Source organism: Homo sapiens, chromosome 2 (assembly GCF_000001405.40).
Source record: "Homo sapiens chromosome 2, GRCh38.p14 Primary Assembly".
Classification (NCBI taxonomy): Eukaryota; Metazoa; Chordata; class Mammalia; order Primates; family Hominidae; genus Homo; species Homo sapiens.
Window position 1 is genome coordinate 104,691,423 of NC_000002.12, and position 22,102 is coordinate 104,713,524.

The 22,102-nt window shown below is 39.6% G+C and overlaps 1 long non-coding RNA gene across 1 annotated transcript, besides 1 other annotated feature; it reads left to right on the plus strand.

The window, feature by feature from the left end:
- Positions 9,700-11,976: an enhancer, noted in NCBI's record as "VISTA enhancer hs969". NCBI's record gives its function as "enhancer in: forebrain[9/9]" and the evidence as "EXISTENCE:transgenic organism evidence [ECO:0001131][PMID:17130149]".
- On the plus strand, positions 12,122-14,388 carry LOC101927383 (uncharacterized). The gene is made up of 2 exons (NR_188512.1): positions 12,122-12,385; positions 13,429-14,388. It is a non-coding gene; the product is annotated as an uncharacterized LOC101927383 (long non-coding RNA).
- Positions 14,389-22,102: the final 7,714 nt, after the last annotated feature.

The window sequence follows — 22,102 nt, forward strand, 5'->3', positions numbered from 1 at the left end:
AAGGACTCCTTGTAAATTCTTTCCATTTCCACGGCCCGTGCCTTCTATAAACATTGTTTTCTGAAGACATAGCCTGGACTGGCTTCTGAGAGCAGCCAAGTAGGCAACAAATTCCACAGTACTACTTGAAAACCTTTAAGAAAGTACACTTCCCCCAGAGAGATCCCAACCTACACCCATCTCCAGCCCCACTCCTCAGACCTACCATCGTGCTGAGTCCACCATTCTGAATATTACTCAGTCTTCAAAAAGAATGAAATTCTTACACACGTTATAGTGTGGATGAACCTTGAAGACATTATACTAAGTGAAATAAGCCAGATGCAAAAGCCTATGTATTGCACGATTTCACTTAGATGTTGTGGACTGAATGTCTGTGTCTCCCCAGAATTCAAATGTTGAAATCCAAACATCCAATGTGAAGCTATTAGGAGGTGGGGGCTTTGAGAGGTGATTAGGTCCTGACAGTGGAGTCCTCATGATGGGATTAGTGCCAGTATAAGAAGAGACACAGGAACTTGCTTCCTCTGCCATATGAGGACACAGCAAGAAGACAGCCATTTGCAAACCGGGAAGAAAACCATCATCAGAGCCTAGTGCATGGTATTTTTGTTACAGTAGCCAGAAATGACTAACACATATGAGATACCTAGAATAATCAAACTCATAGAGACAGAAAGGTAGTTGCCAGGAGCTGGAGGGGAGAGGAGAATGAGGAGTCAATGTTAATGGATTTTCGGTTTGAGAAGAGGAATGAATTAAACACATTCATGTTGTTGTGCGACCATCACCACTATTCATCTCCATTTCTGGAGATGTATATTTTACTATAATTTTTTTTTAAAAAAAGATTTCACCATTCATGTCATTTCCTTGTGTAATGGCCTCTCTCCAACAAGCCTCCATTATAGTGCAATTACCCCAAGGCAGCCCCTACCTTCATCAACAGTCACTAATGTGGGAAGAGCAAGGTAGGAACCTAATCTGGGGTCCATGGGTTCTGGCTCCCGCTGGGGAGTGGGGGATCTATAAGAGGATGTGAAATGGTTGTGGAGGGCAGGAATGAGAGACACAGAAAATGAGACAGAGAACCAGAGAGAGAGAGAGAGAGAGAGAGAGAGAGAGAGAGAGAGAGAGAGAGAGAGACAGACAGCAAGCACCAAAATTGTTTCTAGGACAGGGGTCATGGTTTTCATTAGATTCTCTAGTGAATCTGAGCCCTCTTCCAGACCCGCTGTCCCCAAAAAAGCCCCAACCTTACAAGGCATTAGTTGATGGGGTTAATCCTTGTCTTTGGGGTGGAAGGAAAGTGACAGTAAGGAACATCCTGAGGCTACTAGCTGTCCTTTATGGAACGCTGGTTATGTGCAAGGCACTCCTCTGCACATCTCTACAGGGTTACTTCAAATGATTCATCTAGCATCTACACAGGAGCTACTAGATACTTTTCCAGCTTTAATTCTTTTTTAATGGGGGTAAAATATACTTAACATAAAATTTACCATTTTAACTATTTTAATGCAGTTCAGTGGAATTAAGTACATTCACATTGCTGTGCAACCCATCTCTAGAAATTTTTTATCTTGCAAAACTGAAACTCTGTACCTGTTAAACTCCTCATTCTCTCCTCCCTCCAGCCATTGGCAACCACCCTTCTACTTTCTATCTGTATGTATTTGACTACTCTAGGCACCTCATGTAAGTGGAATCATGTACTTTTATGTCGGGTTTATTCCACTTAGCATTATGTTCTTAAGGTTCATTCGTGTTGCAGCATGTGTCAGAATTTCCTTCCTTTTTCAGCTAAGCAATATTTCATCGTGTGGATAGACCACCTGTTATTTACCCATTCATTCATAAATGGACTCTTGTGTTATTCCCGCCTTTTGGCTATTGTGAATAATGCTGCCATGAACATGGTGTACAAATAGGAGCTGTTAGTATTATCTTCATCTTGTAAAGGAGGACATGGATACAGAGAAGGAAGTCACTGTTAAAAGTCACACAACTGATGATAGTGGAGCCAGGATTTGAACCCGGAGCAGTGGACCCCAAAGCCCATACCAAGGACATTTGTGTCTTGATCCATTTATTAAAAGCAAGCAGAGTAAGAGGGTCAAGAACTATCATATTTACGTTAAATTTCCTTCTTCATAGCCCATCGATGCCCAAAAAGTACTTCCAACTTACTAAAATAATTAAATAGATAACACATAACATTGAAAACCATTACAACAAGAATGAGCCAGAAGCAAGTAATAGGAGAATGTTGGGGGACGGATATAAGAATCCCTGGCTGCTTAGCTTAATGTAAGTGGTGGCAGGTCTTTCTGGAACATCAGTTTTACTCCAATATTTGGGGGAAGACACTAGTTTGTTTCATTGGTAATGTAAAGTCATACTTTTATATTAGAAGAGGTATTGACATGACTTAAAAAAAGAAGTTTACATAAATTTTCATATTTTGTAATTTTTTTTGAGACAATGTCTTGCTTTGTTGCCCAGGCTGAAGGGCAGTGGCATGGTTATGTCTCATTGCAGCCTCAAACTCCTGGGCTCGAGTGATCCTCCCACCTCAGCCTCCCGAGTAGCTGGGACGGCAGTCACACACCACCACCCACCACTCCTGGCCAATTTTTTTGTAATTTTTGTAGTGATGGGGTTTCACCATGTTGCCCAAGCTGGTTTCAAACTCCTGGGCTCAAGCTACCTCTGCCTCCCACCTCTGCCTCCCAAAGTGTCGCGGGATTATAGGCGTGAGGCACCAGGCCTGGACAGTACATTTTTATTTTGCAAATTTTATGATAAAAACTTTCAACTATAAGCAAAAGTATAGAAATTTTAATATAGTGAGTCCCTGTATTGCCTCTCTAAACTTAACTGTTAGTGAGATTTTTTGTATCATTTATTCATATTTCTCTTTCTGCCTTCCTTCTCCCTTTCTTCTTTTCTTTTTAATTGGTAAAGAAATTTAAAATAAATTCCAACCTTCATGTCATTTCACACCTATGTACTTAGCATATGTATCTTTTAAAAAAAGACAGATATTTTGTTACATAACTAACATGCCATTATCACATCTTAAAAATTAAAAACTAATTTCTTGGTGAAATGTTACCCTCCTTCCATATTCAAACTTCCCTGAGTGTATCAGTTTGTCTATTGCCATTTGGCCTGTCTGAATCAGGATCCCAACAAGATTCATATATTTTGTGGCTGATAGCCTCTTAAGACTCTTTTAATCCACAGCTGGTTCCACCCTGTTTTTGTGTCACTGGTTCTTGGAAGGTCAGCCAGGTCAGTTGTCCCATAGAAGTCTCTCTCCCTGGGTGCTTCTGCTCGCTTCTTCTCGATGTCATTTAACTGATATTTCTCTCTCTGTATTTTCTGTAAATTGAAGGTTAGCACTACAGAATCCGTTAAATTGTTCCAATTCAACTCTAAATCTTTTGTGTTTTGCTTTTTCTACAAGAATATTTCTTTTTTTTTTTTTTTTTTTTGAGATGGAGTTGTGCTTGTCACCCAGGCTGGAATGCAATGGTGCGATCTTGGCTCACTGCAACATCTGCCTCCTGGGTTCAAGCGATTCTCCTGCCTCAGCCTCCTGAGTAGCTGGGATTACAAGCGTGCACTACCACGTCCAGCTAATTTTTGTATTTTTTGAAGAGACAGGATTTTACCACGTTGGCCAGCCTAGTCTCGAACTCCTGACCTCAGGTGACCCACCCACCTTGGCCTCCCAAAGCGCTACAAGAATATTTCATAAGTGAAGCTGGGCACTCCTTATTACATCCTATCAAAAGACCCCTACTGTCAGGCTGTCCCTGTCTTGGTAAGGTTCAGATGGTGACAGCCACTTTTTCCAATATTAAAATCGCCACCAAACTTGCATTTACTGGTTTCCTTGTTGATCATTTGTGCCCCCCTGAATCAGATACTACTTGATTGTTCCAAAACAGTGACTTTTAAATTATGCAGTAGCTCTGCATAACAAACTATCCCAAAACTTGATGGCCTAAAACAATTATTTGTGCACAATTCCATAGGTCACAATTTGGGTATAGCTTTGCTGAGCAGTTTTTTCTGATCGAGCCATGTGGCATTAGCTGAATTCTTTCATTCTCCTGCACCCAGCTGGTGGCTGGGCTGGCAAGTCCAACAAGGTCTTGCTCATGGGCCTGGCTCCTCAGTGGTCATCCTCTCTTTCCAAATGGCTAGCTTGGGCTTCCTTATAGCTTGATGGTCTCTGGGTTGCTTTTGTGACTGGCTTTGAAGAGGGTGTTCTAGTGATAAAGGCAGAAGCTATGGGTCTCTTAAGGCCCAGCCTTGAGAGTTACAGAGCATCACATCCATCTCATTCTATTGGCCAGAGCAAGTCATGGGACCATTGTAGATCGAAAGGATTTGAAATAGACTCTACCTCTTGCTGGGGAGTCACAAGGTCACAGTGCAAAAGAGGATGGGAAGTACCATTGTGGCCATCTTTGGGAGCACAGTCGTAATCATGTGAGGGCAGGTGACGTGGTGACAGCCTAATCCCTCCACCATAAAGTTCCCATCACACTTTCATCTCACAGTGTCCTCCACTGGTGTACTTTGCAGAGTCAGATCATCCATTACATGTCATAAAGGGTGAGCTTCTAATTTGGTTTATTTTTCCACCTTTTTTGTAAATAATTTTCTTTCATCAGCTAAGGCTATCACACTAGTCCTCAAAAGGCATGATAAATGCTTTGTTCCTTTCCTTCCATTGCCAACATTCAAAGGATTTGAAGTCCTAATTACCTACAATGGTCACCAGTGAATTGTTTTGTTTTGTGTGTGCACTTTGTTTTGTTTTGTTGTTGTTTCTAAACTCCCCCTCTCAGTATCACGGAGAGTTCATGTTTTTACACATTTAGTGTATTTCAATAATTAATCATCATTTTTTGATGCTCAACTTGCTCTGTCTTTGGCCAGTGGTCCCCTTGCATATTGTCTAGTGTGTCATTTTGACATGCGCCCACTAGTCCTCGATAGCTTCCGTTTTTTTCTGACATACCAAAATGTCCAGCTTCATTTACGTATTTTCTGTCCGAAAACTGATTTCTTTCATTGGGAAATAGTATTTACAGACCACCCTTCAGGCACTAGGAGTAGTTAGTGCTGCAATGTTGCCTTTGCTTTTAGGTGGGGCTACTAAAAAAACATAATAAACAAATCATGAGTTAATCTTGCTATTTTCAATTATATTGCAGGAATTTTTCTTATCGTTTGGCTTTACACTTGTACTTTTTTTCTCTTATGTTAAAAATATTGGCTTCAAATTATTTGCTGTATCATACAAACTATGTAGAATTATCACAAAGTATGATTACTAACATTACTACTAAAAGTAAGATTGCAGAATGGAGTTGAACACTGTGTGGCAGCATTATTTGTTCCTATAAAATATTTCATCGTGGATGCACAGGTTAAATAACATCTTCTAAAGTCACTTGAAATCATTATTTCTTCTGTGTGATTATGTCACCAAATTGATGTAGAGTTGGCTCATTCAACTCTACATCAATTTCAGTATATTTTGAAATTTAAACTGTATGTTTCTTGAATCTACAAAACATAGACATGATTCAGAGGCATCTCCTTTCGTTCTGTCCCCTGTGCCTTCTTCTACAGATAATGATTTATATTTATTTTTCATTTATGTCTTCAGGGTTGCTTTTTGAAAATATAAGCAAATCAGTAAATATATTTATATCGCCTCTCTTTCTTACACAAAAGGTTTGTGTTCCACATTTCTCACTTTTTTTTTTTTGTATAGACTTTCTTTGTGTGGATCCTCTATTGTTTATTCCCACAGTCCCCTATTAATGGAGACACCTGGGTTGATTCCAGTCCTCTGCTAATACAAATATGCTGCAATTAATAGTTTTGTGCATATGCCTTATAGTATTTTTGGCAGTGTGTCTACAGGATAGATTCCTAGAAGTGAGAGCTCTGTTTCAAAGGGTCAAATCCTATGTAAGTTTTCTGGATGTTGCCTAATTTCCCTCCATAAGGGGTCGTACCCTTTTACACCTTTCCTAGCAATATAGAATAGGGCCTATTACCTCACAGGCTCACCCACCAATGATGCTGACATACATGAGTTTTTGCCAATCTGGTGTCTAAACGTACTCTTAATTTGCATTTCTTTCACTCTAGCATCTTTTCCTGTATTTGAGGGCCTTTTCTTTTCTCCTGGGAACTGCCTGCTGATGTCCTTTACACATTTTTCCATCAGATTCTTCATCTTTTCTTCATAAATTTTAGGAGCTCTTTAAGACGAACGGCATTAGCCTTTATCATACAAGTCTGCCAAGGTTTGCCTTTGGAATCTCTTTATGGTGTTTTTTGCCCACACAGGTTTTGAGACAACACCTGACATCTTGAAGCACACCAAGGTTCTGTGGAAACATCTGAGAAGTTGCTTCTCCGACTCAGTTAAGCTACTGCAATTTGTAATCAGACTCAACTCTAAGCCTCCTGGATCCCACTTCACAAGCCAATCTGATCGGAAGTATCTTAACACAAAGGAAGGCTGAGGTTTGTCCCTTTGCTTAGAAGCAATGGAAATGTCAGGGCACCCGTAGAGAGGGCAGCTGCTTCAGAGACCTTCAGGAGGTGCCCTCACTCCTGGAGCTACTCAGCTTAGATGGGAGCAGTGGTTGTGGTTTTCGAGCATTGTCCCTGCCTGAGTCTGAGGTGAGAATCATGTCCTTCTGACACAATGCTCAACTGGAGTGCATTATATTTATGCTATGAGGACTCAGAGAAATGGTTCGTGGGAACGTCACCATTTTATATGTCCAGGCATCCCATCAATTCAGTATGACACCTTCTCAGTGACCGACTCACTCTTGGGTTCCATGACTAGAGAAAGCAGGGACCCACAACAAGGGATAGAATACAGTGGTGGTTTTAGTGACAGAGAAGAACAAGATGGTCTATTCGTGTGACCTGATGCCCAATGAGGCTGAGAGGAGTATCAAGTCACTTCACTCTAAGTCAAGAGAAAGAAAAGTGAAGCCAACATTGGATTGATGATGTCATGATCTTGTCTGTTCCCGATCCTAATCATGACCCAACAATTTAAAAGTAATAATGAAATAATGATATCCCAACGCGTGATTTTACATCATGCTTCAGAATTTACAAAACACTTTTGCATTTTATGCTTACAAGAGCCATACCAGTGTGTGGTAAAGTGTGCTTGAAAGCCACAGAAAACCCAAGCTACATGAGGTTAAGTTGCTAGGATCACACAGCTAAGAAAGGGGGAGCCTCAGCTGGACTCCAAACCAAGGCTGGCTGTGGGCGTGTGTTGTGCCTCCAGTCACACAGGACCCTGTGCCCAGGAGGGCCCATGCTTGGTTTAATGCTCTGCTGAGATTCACTTTTACCACTTTTGTACATGGGGAATACATTTTGTATTTTCATTTTGCACAGAGCTCCTCAAATTGGGTAGCCAGTCCTGCCCAGACTGCATGTGATTTTTCTCCTAAGAATTAAAGTAGCAAATCTAAACTTTTTGAAATACAATTTCTTGAATATCCTCTGTTTCAAACGGAATTGATACTTAGGTTTTGTGTAAAGACAAGGACCACGTTATTGAAAACCTTATCACCCACCAGATGAAGCTCTGGGGGCTTCACGTGTTAGCCCCTAGCCTAGGGCCACAAGACCACTTCAGATAACATTTTTTGGTGCCTAAGACATATAGGAAATAGCTGCTTTATTATTCAAATCAGGCCAAATTCCCCTGCAAAACAAATAAATGGAGTAGAAGGATTTGTTTTAAAAAAGAGAGAGAGAAGAGAAATGTTTATTTTACTGGAATTTTATTATACCAAATATTGTTCCAATATGTAGGCCGTGATGTGGCACTCTAAAATCTAGTTCTTGTAAAGAGATATATAAGAAAGCCATGTTTGTGTTGGTAAGATTTAATAATCAATCCCCTAGTGAGCTGGGAGAATTCTTGCCACTTTCAAAGACACCTGCCTTAACCGTAAGACCTATGGAAATCTCATTTGTGGTGTCATTCTGGGATCACAAAAGGATTCCATTTAAAATGCATCGTTAATTTTTCTACAGAAATGGATATAGATTGCTATCTAACATTTGGAAATTCATAGATTAATTAATTTAAAAGAAGTTCAATGAAAGGAAAGAAGAGAAAATGAGCAGTGATAGCTAAAGATAAAGAAAGCCTGATCAATGTATATTTGCTTTTTCAAAAAGCATTTAATAGGAAACCCCTCATACTCTGGGCCCCTTACTGACCACTGCAGTTCTGGGAGAAATGATGTAAACATAAAACATTTTAGTAAATATAATTATAATGAGTTCTAATCACTTAAGAGTATATATTTTTTCTTTGCACCATGGGTCATATGTGAAATTGTTTTATTAATTTTAAAAGAGAGAGAAATGCTTCCTAACACACATTAGTTGGAATAGCGTAATGGCCAGTATAACCAGTTTCTTAAACAAGTCAATTAGAGGAGACGATCTTTCAGGTATCCCATTTGATTTATTATTCACTTGGGAATTAACAGAGAATGGATCATGATATAAATTCCTCTGTAGGTTTTATTATATTGGCATTTTGGTGGATAGATAATATATAGAACCCCTGGGCCTATCACTATCAAGGATGCTATTGATTGTATCAGCAGCATTATCCTGCAATTTTCCCTCATAACTATTTATGCATCTCTCTGTGATTTGTAATTCAGCAGTAATCATTTTCTGTGGCTGCTGCAATTTTCTTTCCATGTGGTACCTAGGCTATGTACTGAAACAAGGCTTGATTTTAAGCCCAAAGATTTGGGGTTTCGTTTTAGAATAATAGAGAGGAGATCAAAGAAGTTTTAGAATTAGAATTAATTGTTAAGGATGAGGAGGAAACATTAGTCCTTTATTTTATTAGTTCCATGGGTGGATGAGAGATAAGCAGTGGCAAAGTGGGAGAACACAGATAAAATCAGAGGTGATTTCATCAGGGTAGCAGGAGAGGAAATTAGCAGGAACTTGATGCTTGGACAAAGTTGAGTCTACTTTTCCCTGCTGGCTCCTTTGGGGGCTGCTTCTGAGCACTTCGTGGGCTTGGAAAGGGAGTAGAATCTTTTTAAAGCCCTGCTTATCCCCTCAGGGAGAAAAAAAAATCTCTGAGGGCCCTGGACTTGGACTGAAACAGAGTTTCAACAGGGTTGAAACCTTGCTCTGGGAACAGAGGCACCAAGCAAGTTTGGGGAGGAAGGGCTAGCTTTTACTTGCCTAACTGAAGAGTGGCAACATGAAGGTGATGCACAAAACACACTTGTTTACTTTTCTCCATCCATAGTGAGGAAGAAACACACAGAAGAGAACGGTTGTAGCACCCAGGTTGCAGGTGCATCAGAAATAGAGAAATGTATTCACACCTTGAAGTTGATGCCGAGGGCTTCTTAAGGAAACTCTAGAGGATGGGAAAGGAGTACTTCGATTAGGTCTCCGTGACTCAGGATAGCTAACATCCCAGAACTTTCACTCGTAATTTTGCTCAGACTTCGTCTCCAAGATCACATGTTCTCAGTCACAGAACCATGAGTCGTTATATTTCATCCAAAGATGACCTGCAATCCTGCCATGTTTTGCAGCTGCCACACCCACAGCAGTGCACCTGATTTTCTGTTGATTAAAATGGTCCAACAGCGGGCGCCCCTCCCCACTACCTCGGAAGAGCAACTATTTATCCTTTAGAATCTACCTTGTCCAGGGCTTTTATATGCCTGGCCTTTGAATCGGTCATCTCCTGTTTGTATCGTGACTAAGGGAGAGGCTTTCTGGCAAAATCTTGTCAGTGATGGTGATTTCTCCTCCACATTGCTGCTGAAACTGGGATGCAGACTTCCTTCACATTGGCTTTCTTCTTCAGGAAATGCACAGGAGCCTCTTGCCTTGTAATACACAGTCTGTCTCATTCATAAAGTCTTGTCCTGGAAAATGCCTCATTCATCCCTGCAGAAGACCCGCCGTTGGGAGGGCAGGGGCGTTCGAAACCTTGGGAGACAGAAGACAATAGTGGAGTGCTTGGCAGCAGTGCCTGGGCTGCTTTAGCAACATGCACCCACGCCAGGGAGAGGATAAAACGCTGCAGTTGTTTACTTGCCTCTCTGGAGCAAAAGAGTCTCTTCGCCTACAATATAGATGCCAAATCCTCAGGTCCTGAGTGAGGAAATGATGAGCTTCGCCGGGGATTGGCATGAAGTCCTGTGCTCCAAGATAGCACGGCATTTTACTTGAAAGCATTCGTTGTTTAAAGAGAAAACGAGAATTGTGGGATTTTTTGTCAATCGAGAGTCAGCCAACTTCCTCTCCCACTGGCCGCTCACACAGAATGCCCACCGTGCCCTGCGGTGCCCTGCCACGGAGCCAGGCTGGCCTGCTCTCTGGCCACCGAAGGCACTTGCTTCTCTTTCGGAATCTGATCACAGGCAACTTAAATTTGCCAACGTTACCCATATTAGTAATTGCAAAATAATAAACATGGCAAATTTCCTATTAATAAGGCATCCAGTGTAACTCCTTTTGCAGAAAGAGCTCTCTGGAATCCTAAGCCTAATAGGTCTGTGTTTATTTCTCCACCAGCAGCATAATGTGACTGATTTACAAGAGTTTAACTCAAGTGTTAATCTGACAGTGACGAAGAGCTCCTCACTGGTGCAGTCACTTACACTATCATATTAGTTGCCTCCTCTATTAAAGCAGTGTGGTCGATAATTGGAATGCTTTTATGTCTAGTGGTTCTGACAAGCCTCTTCTTCAGGTCACATATGGGCGGTCTAGCTCTCCGCTCAGCCCAACAGTGGCAAATAATTTAAACTGAGAAAGTATTGTTCTCCTCGTATTGTGGAGCAAGGGCAGTTCAAGGGAAGTGAGACTGTGCACTGGCTACCTGCTGCTGTGCAGTAAAATAAGGTGGACATGATACAGGGTTGGGAGTACAATTAAATCTATTTTGCACCAATGTGTTGCTGGACAGATGAGTTTCCACATGGCAGAGCTTTATGATCTTTAAGGTAGACTGAACTAATAGATTGGTGTGGAGCGCACTGAAGTTACCAAGGATGAGAAAGCAGGCAGTAGTACATTTGAACTACAGGTTTCTCATATGCTCCACGTCATGCTGAGTTTTTATAGCTCCTGGCTTTCAAAAAGCCTGTTTCAAAGAGGTTTGCGCTAGACTGGGCATGCAGTTTTGCTCTGCAGATATTGTCGCTACCGATTTAGTGGAATGCAATTAGGAAGCCTAAATTAAGTGGTAATGGAGAACCAGCTCTTGAAACTGGGGTTTCCACGGCAACCACTGCTTACAATACAGCCTTCAGTTAGTTTTCCCACTTTATCTGCAAAATGCACAATTGAGCTTTAAAACAGCTCGGTGCTGAAAAACGCACTGTAAACAACTGTTTGCAATGAGAGTTTTACACTGTCTTTAAATACAACAAACTATCACATAAAATTTACTTGCCCTCCCTAATAAAGCAAAATCTGGGTTGGCAATCAGTTAGCGATTTTAAAATTTATTATTCCTTTCCCCTGTTTGGATTTATTTTTAAGGGAAGATGCCACGAGTCATTAGGTCTCTTAACTTTGGTCATTCTTGCTGCATTTTCAGCTCCCCTGACAATCTGCCTATCCCACCAGTCCCTTGCTAAAATGTGTTTCATCTTAGCAAATAATTGTTTCAAATAAACATACAATGTGCTCCTTTTCTAGGTTCTTTTCGTATTTTGGTAACATTTTACAGATTCTGCTCGTGTTTTCCCTTTGTAACATGTCATAGATTTGCAAGACTTTCCTATTTACTAATTTGTTATTAATCTTCTTTCCAGCTTACTACTCTTTTAAAAGTCCACGTTTCATTTCTCTGTACATTCGGCAATTAACCATCGAGGCTGTCTTTTGCCAGCCTAACTAGCAAGAGGAGACAGTTAAAAGATAATATCAAAGCAGGTGTATTGCTAAACACAGTTGTTTAAAACAGCTATGAAGAACTTGTACTTTTGTAAAACTCATTTTCTTTCATGGTAGGAATTCCTATTGTTTTATTGTAGAGTTGTCATTTTTGCTTAGGTGCATCAGAAATGCTTACACTCATGCACACGTACACAGCTACACTTACGCATGCATTTTTTTAGTGGGGAAAAAAATCAAATTGGGTTCTGCAAAGAGGAGAGGAGGATGGAATCAAATTTGGGGTCTCCTAGCTGTAATACTCTGTTTAATTGCCAGTCTTAACAGGATGAGCACTGGAACATGTCCGGACAGATCCAGGCAGCTGGTGAAAACTCATGAATTCTCTGCAGCACAGAAGGTAATGTTTCCCAGCAGTTTGTGCTCTCTCAAGGTTGTCGTATTATACGTGTGTTATTTTCACTGCGAGAACATGCAGAGAGGGAGGCAGAGAGCATGTGTGTGTGTGTGTCATTACAGTCCCTCCCATTTATGTGGCATTCAGTGAGAAAACTCGATTCTGGTGTCAGCGGTCATGTCTGAGTCTCTGTCTGATAGGTTCTCTGTAGACGTGGAATATGTCAGGTGGGGAGTGTGCCCTTCACAGTAAGCGTGTACCTTCAGCAGTGCGGCCTGGCTGTTTGAATTCTGATTTGTTTCAGAGTCGTCGGTTTTGACCTAAAGCTGATTTAGGTGGTACCAAAGCTTTATGGAAAACCCCGTTTTTCTTACTACTCAGTCATACTCTCGAGTGGTTCCTACAGTTTTCACATTTTGAGAATATAAATGTTGAAGAAAACCAAAGAGCCACATTAAAAAAAATTGGTTGCTGTTTTAATTTTCGGCTCATGGTGTTTTTAAAAGTGTCTTTATTACATATCTGGACATTGTTTTAAACACCACGTATGCTTTATTGTAGATCTTTGCTATAAAAATATGTCTGTCATCTTAAATCTTTAAGAATTTAATCTTGGAGAAGTTATATACATCTTTTTGTTTAGTAATTGATAAACTTGAGAGATATTCTCCAATCCCATTTCAACTATTGATAAGGCACATTTCATATCTTTCCCATGCCTTAAAATAAAATGTGAATTCAGGGAGTTCTAAATTTAAATCTTCTATGGGAAGAAACCTGGAGTAGTAATGTGCTCACAACTTTTGTAAGGCATCTTGTTTCAACATGGCTGGCATTTTCTGCAAAATACACAAGGACACACTGAAATGATCCTAGTCTGGCAACAATGTGCAGATTGATGTGTGTGCATTCAATTCCATTTGACAAATCTTTGGGGCAAAGAGAAGGTTCCACTGTAAGGAAATATCTTAGCACATTCCAAAAGTGCATTTTTTGCAAGCTATATTTTTAGACTAAACATATGTTCAATGATTTGCCCTCTCCAGGGAGCAGGTTTGCATTCAGGCCACTGAGACGACGGAGGCTGCATCACAGAAGAGGCCGTGGGAGGTCACAGGTACGGCCTCTCCTTCTGACTGTACAATGAACTCTGCAAGCTGTGTGGTCAGAGTGCCAGGGACAGCCAGGAACTGCTGTCATCGTTCCAGGTGGAGCTGACAGACTGTCTCCGAAGCGCCCACCTGCGCGTGCGCCCCCTCTTCCCGGCACAGGCTAGAGATGCGCAGAATCCTAACTACGGCCACCGTTTCCTGCCTCAACGAGCCATGCCCTAAAAGAAACAAATGCATCGCCCCAGAATTCTTAGAAAGTTACAATCATCTGCTTAACTCTTTTAATTTCCTTTTCCTTCAACTTAAACTTTAATTTCAGGTATCTTCTATACAACACAGAAGTCACGCTCTGGATAGAATTAAAAGGAAATTAACTTGGGGTTTAGGGTGGACGTTTTTTGCCTTATTTTGCTTCTTAGTAAATGAAAGTGAAGCCTGAATAATGAGAATATTATTAATCCATCTCCATTTTTCTACTTTAAAGGCACAGCATAGATTTTGGTTCCAGTTGTTACTACTTTAATGAGAGTAATGAATATTCCATGTGAGGGCAGTGTGCATGAAAGTGTGCTGGGAAAGTTCTATGGATCTTTGTGTTTTGTTTCAGTTTTGAGGATTAAATGCAAGTTTAATCCTTTAATGAATATATAAGTCGGTTGATGCCCTTTCTTGAGAAAGTTATGGTTAAATTGTTGTGTCAAATCATTGTATTTCATTCTGTCTCCAGTGTGGGGGTAGCATAGAGAGGTGGTGGGTAGGGCTGGGGGTGAATATGTGTGTTTTTCTTAAGCGACGCTAGTTTTGGAAAATGTAAGGATTCCAAAGGTTAATGTGGATTAAAATGCTGTCTGCCATGAACTTTAGAAATTGAAATAAATGTGGTTGGTAAAAGAAGAACTGTGTTTTGATTACACGGAAATGCTTTTGTAGGCCTTTTCTTTCAGGTGAAGTAAACATCTTAAAAATAAGCACAATAAATATGTTTCTAAGCACGGTGCATTGTAATTGTAATTAGCTCTTCCTCCTTTATGAGGTTGCATGCATCAGATTACGTCTAATTACTCCCAAGCAGTTTGCTGGTTTCCTATTTTTGTGAAAAGTCTCACAATACATCTTTACAACCACAAAGACACTGATTTGCTTATACTGAGGCCTTGATGGGCAACTCGCTTTCTTTTTATGTGAGGGGAAAAATTAAAGGTGAGCATCATTAGGAATCTCTCTTTAAACCCAGTAATCTATGCACACTGCAAAGAATCAATGCCCAGTAGGCGGGCTGGAGTTCTACAATACATTCTTGCACTTATAGGCTTTTCCTTGACCAGGTAGCTCGTAATGCCATAGAAATTGATTATTTGTGATGTTCTTATCATTGTTTAAAACATCTCATTGCTTTTCCTCCACAGATTTGGATTTAGCTTGCCGGACACAGGGTGACTAATGAAGGAAGTCCCTTAATTAGACAGATGTGTCCCAGAGTGCAAGGTGGTGTTGATAGGAAATCTGACCTGAATTGTGTCAAATTCTATTTCAATAGAATTTAAGGTCTCATTTTAGTAGAAATTAAGATGGAACTGAGTTTTCTCTGACTCAAAAGCTTCTTTTGATTAACTCTTTCAACCCTACAAAAAGTACTCAGAGTTTATAGCTTTACCTAGAACACTTAGACATTTTCAAATCCATTTTCCATAGATATATCTTAGCACTTTTATTTTAGTTAACATATGGAGACATGTGACTTCAAATTCAGTGGATGATCTTAAATGCTAATATACAGGTTAACACAAGTTAAAACTAAATTAAAATAAAAAGCAAAATTTTAGATACAAAGGACGAATTATCCAGAAAAAAAAAAAACATAATCTTAGAGCAATAATCTAATAGCAGCTGTACTTAACCTCATGCATGTTTTTATCTAATTTAATAATTCTGGATATTACTTGGTCTCCTGATGGGAGATATATCAATTCAGAACCAAATATTGTTTCATATCCTTTAATGCCTTTAGACAAGCCTTTTTGTTAGAGCAGCATACAGTTAAAAAAAAAAAAGGCACAGCAATATGCTAAATTGGTGTCCAGATAATAGTTACTTTGAGTTCACCTTGTGATAACACTCTGGCAATTTTGGTTGAGCCAAACAAATTGTGCTTTCTGTCCTAATTGAAAATAGCTCCGTTGATCTCTCAACCTCAGCACACCCTGGGGGAAGACACTTAAGCCCTTGGTGAGCGCAAGTGAAAATTTTGTTCTTGCTGAAAACTACATGGACGAATCCTTAGGTAAGTTTTCCTAAAACATCCTGTCAGGCAAAGCCAGTTTTGTGTTTGTGAAAATGCCAAGTCTGCAAGCATCAATATGTCTCTCCTCGTTGCACTGTTTCCTATGTAGTATGCTGCTTTTTCAGAGCTTGGTTATTTCTGCAACTCCAGTTCCTTTGCACACTGTCTGTCGGCACTTAATAAGTATTTTCTTCATTTAATTGAAAAAAACTAAATTAAAAGAGTTTCATAATAATCACATTGGCATATCTTAGCATCTCATAAAATTATTTGCTAAAGTAACTGTCTCCTGTCCAATTATACTGTAAGCCCTTTGAGAGTAGGGATTCTGTCTTATTTATTTTTATATCACCAATGTCTAACAGAGTGCCTGACATAAAGGTGCTGAGTTAGACTGGGGAATGAATGCATGAGCGCATGAAGAATGTGAGGCCTGGTAGCTAGTTCAGTCCCTACCTGAAGCAGAATAGGAAAGTTTTCATGAGGATAGATGGTTGCATTGAGAATATAAAACTACGATAAATTGAGAATGAATCATTTTCAGAGCCAAATATAATTTTTGGAGCCCATGGGATTGCATGTTATTTGTTAAAGATTTGTTAAAGACATGTATAGGATCTGCAACCAAATAGGGTAAGTTCATGCCCTCTCTCCAGCATATTCCAACTGGGGTTACCCAGTTGGAATACAATTGGAGGAAGTTACCACCTCCTCCAATTCTCTGTTTTCTTCCATTAAGTGAAGAAGATAAAATCCTCCTCAGAATTGAGAGTGAAGATTAAATAAGATTGAATATGGACAACGCATGGATTATAAGCACTATACACATTAGGGTTTTTTTTCCTCTTCTGATTTTCAATGAATTGTAATCCCTGTTTTTTATACTGAGAAATCGGGGACCCTGGACTTCATTAAAATGGTTTATTCGTATTTGTAACAAATTTTAAGTCTTTTATATTTTTCAATTATTTTGCTTAATTATTGCCTGGGCAATCTTCCAGGATTATTTTTTGTCTTATTTTCACAGCCCTCATTTTCTGTGTGTTTATTTCCACAATGGTAGACCCTGAATCTCAGCATCTGATAACGACCTATACATCTGGGTAACATTTATGACACAAAATGCAACATAAAGATTTGGTTTTGTTCATCCCACATCTACATATCATTTGCGAGAAGGGAACTTTGCATCATATCTTGTAAAATACGTTCTCCCCCAGAATTTTTTTTTTTTTTTTTTGAGACGGAGTCTCCCTCTGTTCCCCAGGCTAGAGTGCAGTGGCACGATCTCGCCTCACTGCAACCTCCACCTCCCAGGTTCAAGCAATTCTCCTGCCTTAGCATCCCAAGTAGCTGGGATTACAGACATGCACCACCATGCCCAGCTAATTTTTTAGTATTTTTAGTATTCTAATATTTTTAGTAGAAAGGGGGTTTTGCCATGTTGGCCAGGCTGGTCTTGAACTCCTGACCTCAAGTGATCTGCCCACCTTGGCCTCCCAAAGTGCTGGGATTACAGACATGAGTCACTGCATCCAGCCCCCCCAGAATTTTTTGAGCCCCAATATCTGGCAAATTGTTTATAAAAAAATAAGCTACCAAGTTTTTCTTTAGGTTTTCAGAACTTTTAGGAGGGCAGGAATTTCTGTCTCTCAAGCATCTAGAACAGTGCCTGGCACACAGGAGGCACTCAATAGACACTTGTTGAATGAGAGTTGAAGGAACATATAAAAAAAAATCTAAGATATCTTTTCGATATTCAAATAAAATTAAATGAATAAAAACATATGTTACTTCCTTCCTTATGAAATTTATATTTCAACATTTAAACACTAGCAAAACTTAGACCCTATCATACCGAATTTCACAAAAAGTTAAAAGTAAGGGCCCAGTGTCAGCGCTTCTGAATGTGTAAAAAGTTCTTATGTAATCACAACCCTACACTGGAACAGAGCACAAAATTAATGGTGAGTATGATGCATCATCTATTTATCTCCCCATTACATAATAAGAGTAAAAATAATAATAGAGGTTATATGGGCTCAGTGCTTTACAAATGTTAGTTCATTTCATCCTTGTTACAGCCCGGATTTTACAGTTCCATTGCACCCATAAGAAAACAGACTGAAAGGTTTAGTAATTTGTCCCAGGAAGAGGTGGGGCCAGAATTTGAAACCTGGCAGTAGACTCCACAGCTATGCAATACACCATGGAGTCTCACAGCCAAATGACAATGATAATAATAAAATAATATTAATAAAAACATATGTGCTTATTTCCCTGTCTTCATTGTGAGAGACTACAGATGTGTCAACCCCACTGTGTGTGCTGTGGCGTTATGAGCCCCGTCTTGCCACTAGAAGCTGAGGACCCTCACTTGTCCATGTGCCTCATCTGCCTCTCTTGGAGCCCTCCAGCCCAACACGGTCACCTTGACTATTCTGCCAACCTAAGAGCCTCCTAGGTCCCTCTAAGCGATCTTCTGTTCTAAAACTGCCATCAATCACTGTCCCTTCCAAATACCTAACCCCAAACATTTCCTCTGTTCTAATTTACCCCAATGTCCTCAGCTTCCAGTTGGAGGAACACTGTTGCACTCTTTCTGCTATGTCTCTAAAATAACCTATTATTGACAGCTGGGTTTTTTTTTTCTATTGACTTGCTTAAATAATGTATTCACCTCTATTGGGGGAAAAGCTTTTAAAATTAATAAAATAATGTTAGATTGTCTTGTTCGCTAAAACCTTGTCCTGAAAACTGAAGTTATATTTAATGAGTTATCTAACCTGCACTGATGCATTTCAGGAAATGGAATGCCATCCCCATTTTCATAACTTTATTTGAAAGGAGATTCTATATGATGCATCACAATGCTTATCCTCTGATTCCATTATCTGAAAGTGACAAAGCAGATGACCAAATAAGCTCTTCAGTGCTGTGCATGGTTTTTTGTTCCTCCACCCACCCTCTTCTCTTAAGGAATTTCATCCTTTGTATAGTTAGTCCATATTCTTCCAATATAGAAATTGCTTTCTTCGGCCAGGTGCGGTGGCTCACGCCTGTAATCCCAGCACTTTGGGAGGCCGAGGTGGGTGGATCACGAGGTCAGGAGTTCAAGACCAGCCTGACCAATGCGGTGAAACACATGTCTACTAAAAATACAAAAATTAGCCATGCGTGGTGGCAGGCTCCTGTAATCCCAGCTACTCGGGAGGCTGAGGCAGGAGAATTGCTTGAACCCAGTAGGCAGAAGTTGCAGTGAGCTGAGATTGTGCCACTGCACTCCAGCCACAGAGAGAGACTCTGTGTCAAAAAAAAAAAAAATTGCTTTCTTCACATTTAAATCATGCCTAAAAGCATTCAGTTTGCAACTTATACTTTTTTTGAATTTTTAAAATTTTTAAATTTTAATTTTGTGGGTACATAGTAGGTGTATATATTTATGGGGTACATTAGATGTTTTGATACAGGCATGCAAGGAGTAATAATCACATTATGTAAAGTGGGGTATCCATCCCCTCAAGCATTTATCCTTTGTGTTACAAACAATCCAGTTATATTCTTTCAGTTATTTAAAAATGTACAATGAAATTATTATTGACTATAGGCACACTATTGTGCCATCAAATACTAGGCCCTATTTAGTCTTTTTATTTTTTGTACCCATTAAGCACCCCCAACTCCCCCACAATCCCCTACTCTTTTCCCAGGCTCTGGTAACTATCCTTCTACTCTATGTCCATGAGTTTGTTTTGATTTTTAGGTCCCACAAATAGTTGAGAATATGTGATGTTTGCTTTCTGTGCCTGGCTTATTTCACTTAGCATAGTGATCTCCAGTTCCATCCATGTTGTTGCAAATGACAGGATCTCATTCTTTTTAATGGCTGAATTGTACTCCATTGTGTGTAACTGCTACATTTCTTTATTCATTCACCTTTCGATGGACACTTAGGTTGCTTCCAAATCTTAGCTATTGTGAACAGTGCTGCAACAAACATGGGAAATATCTCTTCCAATACTGATTTCCTTTCTTTTGGGTATATATCCAGCAGTGGGATTGCTGGATCATATGGTAGCTCTATTTTTAGTTTTTTGAGGAACCTCCCAACTGTTCTCCATAGTGGTTGTACTAATTTACATTCCCACGAACGGTGTAGTGGCAGGGGGTTCCCTTTTCTCCACCTCCTCTCCAGCATTTGTTATTGCCTGCATTTTGGATATAAGCCATTTTAACTGGAAAGAGATGAGATCTCATTGGAGTTTCGATTTGCATTTCTCTGATGATCAATGATGTTGAGCACGTTTTCATATACCTGTTTGCCATTTGCATACCTTCTTTTGAGCAATGTCTATTTAAATCTTTTGCCAAGTTTTAAATAAATTTATCAGATTATTTTCTTATAGGATTGTTTGAGCTCCTTGTATATTCTGGTTATGAATCCCTCGTGAGACGGTTAGTTTGCAAGTATTTTCTCCAATTCTGTGGGTTCTCTCTTAACTTTGCTAATTGTTTCCTTTGCTGTGCAGAAGCTTTTTAATTTGATGTGACCCCATGTGTCCATTTTTGCTTTGGTTGCCTGTGCTTGCGAGGTATTACTCAAGAAATTTTTGCCCAGACCAATGTCCTGGAGAGTTTCCTCAATGCTTACCTGCAGAAGTTTCATAGTTTGAGGTCTTAGATTTATGTCTTTAATTCATTTTGATTAGATTTTTGTAGATGGTGAGAGATAGGAGTCTAGTTTCATTCTACTGCATATGGATATTCAGTTTTCCCAGCACCATTTATTGAAGACAGTGTTTCCCATTATATGTTCTTGGCACGTTTGTCAAAAATGAGTTCACTTTAGGTGTGTGGATTTGTTTCTGGGTTCTCTATTCTGTTCCATTGGTTTCTGTGTCTGGTTTTATGCAAGCACCATGCTGCTTTGGTTACTGTAGCTGTGTAATATAATTTGAAGTCAGCTAATGTGATTCCTTCAGTTTTGTTCTTTTTGCTTAGGACAGCTCTCGCTATTTTGTGTCTTTTGTGGTTCCACATAAATTTTAGGATTTTTTTTTTCTATTTCTTCAAGAATGTCATTGGTATTTTGATAGGGATTGCACTGAATCTGTAGATTGCTTTGGGTATATGGACATTTTAACGACATGGATTCTTCCAAACCATGAACATAAAATATCTTTACATTTTTGATGTCTTCTTCAATTTCTTTCATTAGTGTTTTACAGTTTTTATTATAGAGATTGTTCACTTCTTTGGTTAAGTTAATTCCTAATTCTATTTGTGGCCATTATTAATGGGATTACGTTTTTTGTTGTTGTTTTTATTTTTTGAGATGGAGTCTCGCACTGTCACCCAGGCTGGAGTGCAGTGGCACGATCTTGACTCACTGCAACTTCTGCCTCCTGGGTTCAAGTGGTTCTCCTGCCTCAGCCTCCCGAGTAGCTGGGATTACAGGTGCCCACCACCACGCCCGGCTAATTTTTTGTATCTTTAGTAGAGATGGGGTTTCACTATGTTCGGCAGGCTGGTCTCAAACTCCTGACCTCGTGATCCACCTGCCTCGGCCTCCCAACATGCTGGGATTACAGGCGTGAGCCACCACACCTGGCTGGGATTACTTTTATTTCTTTTTCAGATTGTTCCTTGTTGGCATGTAGAAATGCTATTGATTTTTGTATGTTGATTTTGTATCCGGCAACTTCATTGAATGTGTTTATCAGTCCTAATAGATTTCTTATGGTGTCCTTAGGTTTTTTCAAATATAAGATCATATCATCTACAAACAAGGATAGTTTGACTTCTTTCTTTCTAATTTGGATGCCCTTTATTTCTTTCTCTTGTCTGATTGCTCCAGCTTGGACTTCCAGGACTATGTTGAATAACAGTGGACATCCTTGTTATGTTCCAGATCTTAGAGGAAAGGATTTCAGTTTTTCCCCATTCTTGTTACTTGTTATTGGTCTGTTCAGATTTTGTATATCTTCATGGCTCAATCTTAGTAGGTTGCATGTCTCTAGGAATTTGTCCATTTCTTCTAGACTTCCCAGTTTATTGACATATAGTTGCTCATAATAGCCACTGATGATCCTTTGAATTTCTGCGGTATCAGTTGTGATGTCTCCCTTTTCATCTCTGATTTTATTTGTTTGGATCTTCTTGCTTTTTCTTAGTCTGGCTAAAGGTTTGTCAGTTTTGTTGAACTTTTCAACAAAACCAACTTTTGGTTTCATTGATCGTTTGCATTGTTTTCTTTATTTCAATTTCATGTATTTCTGCTCTGATCTTTATTATTTCTTATCCTCTACTAATTACAGGTTTGGTTTG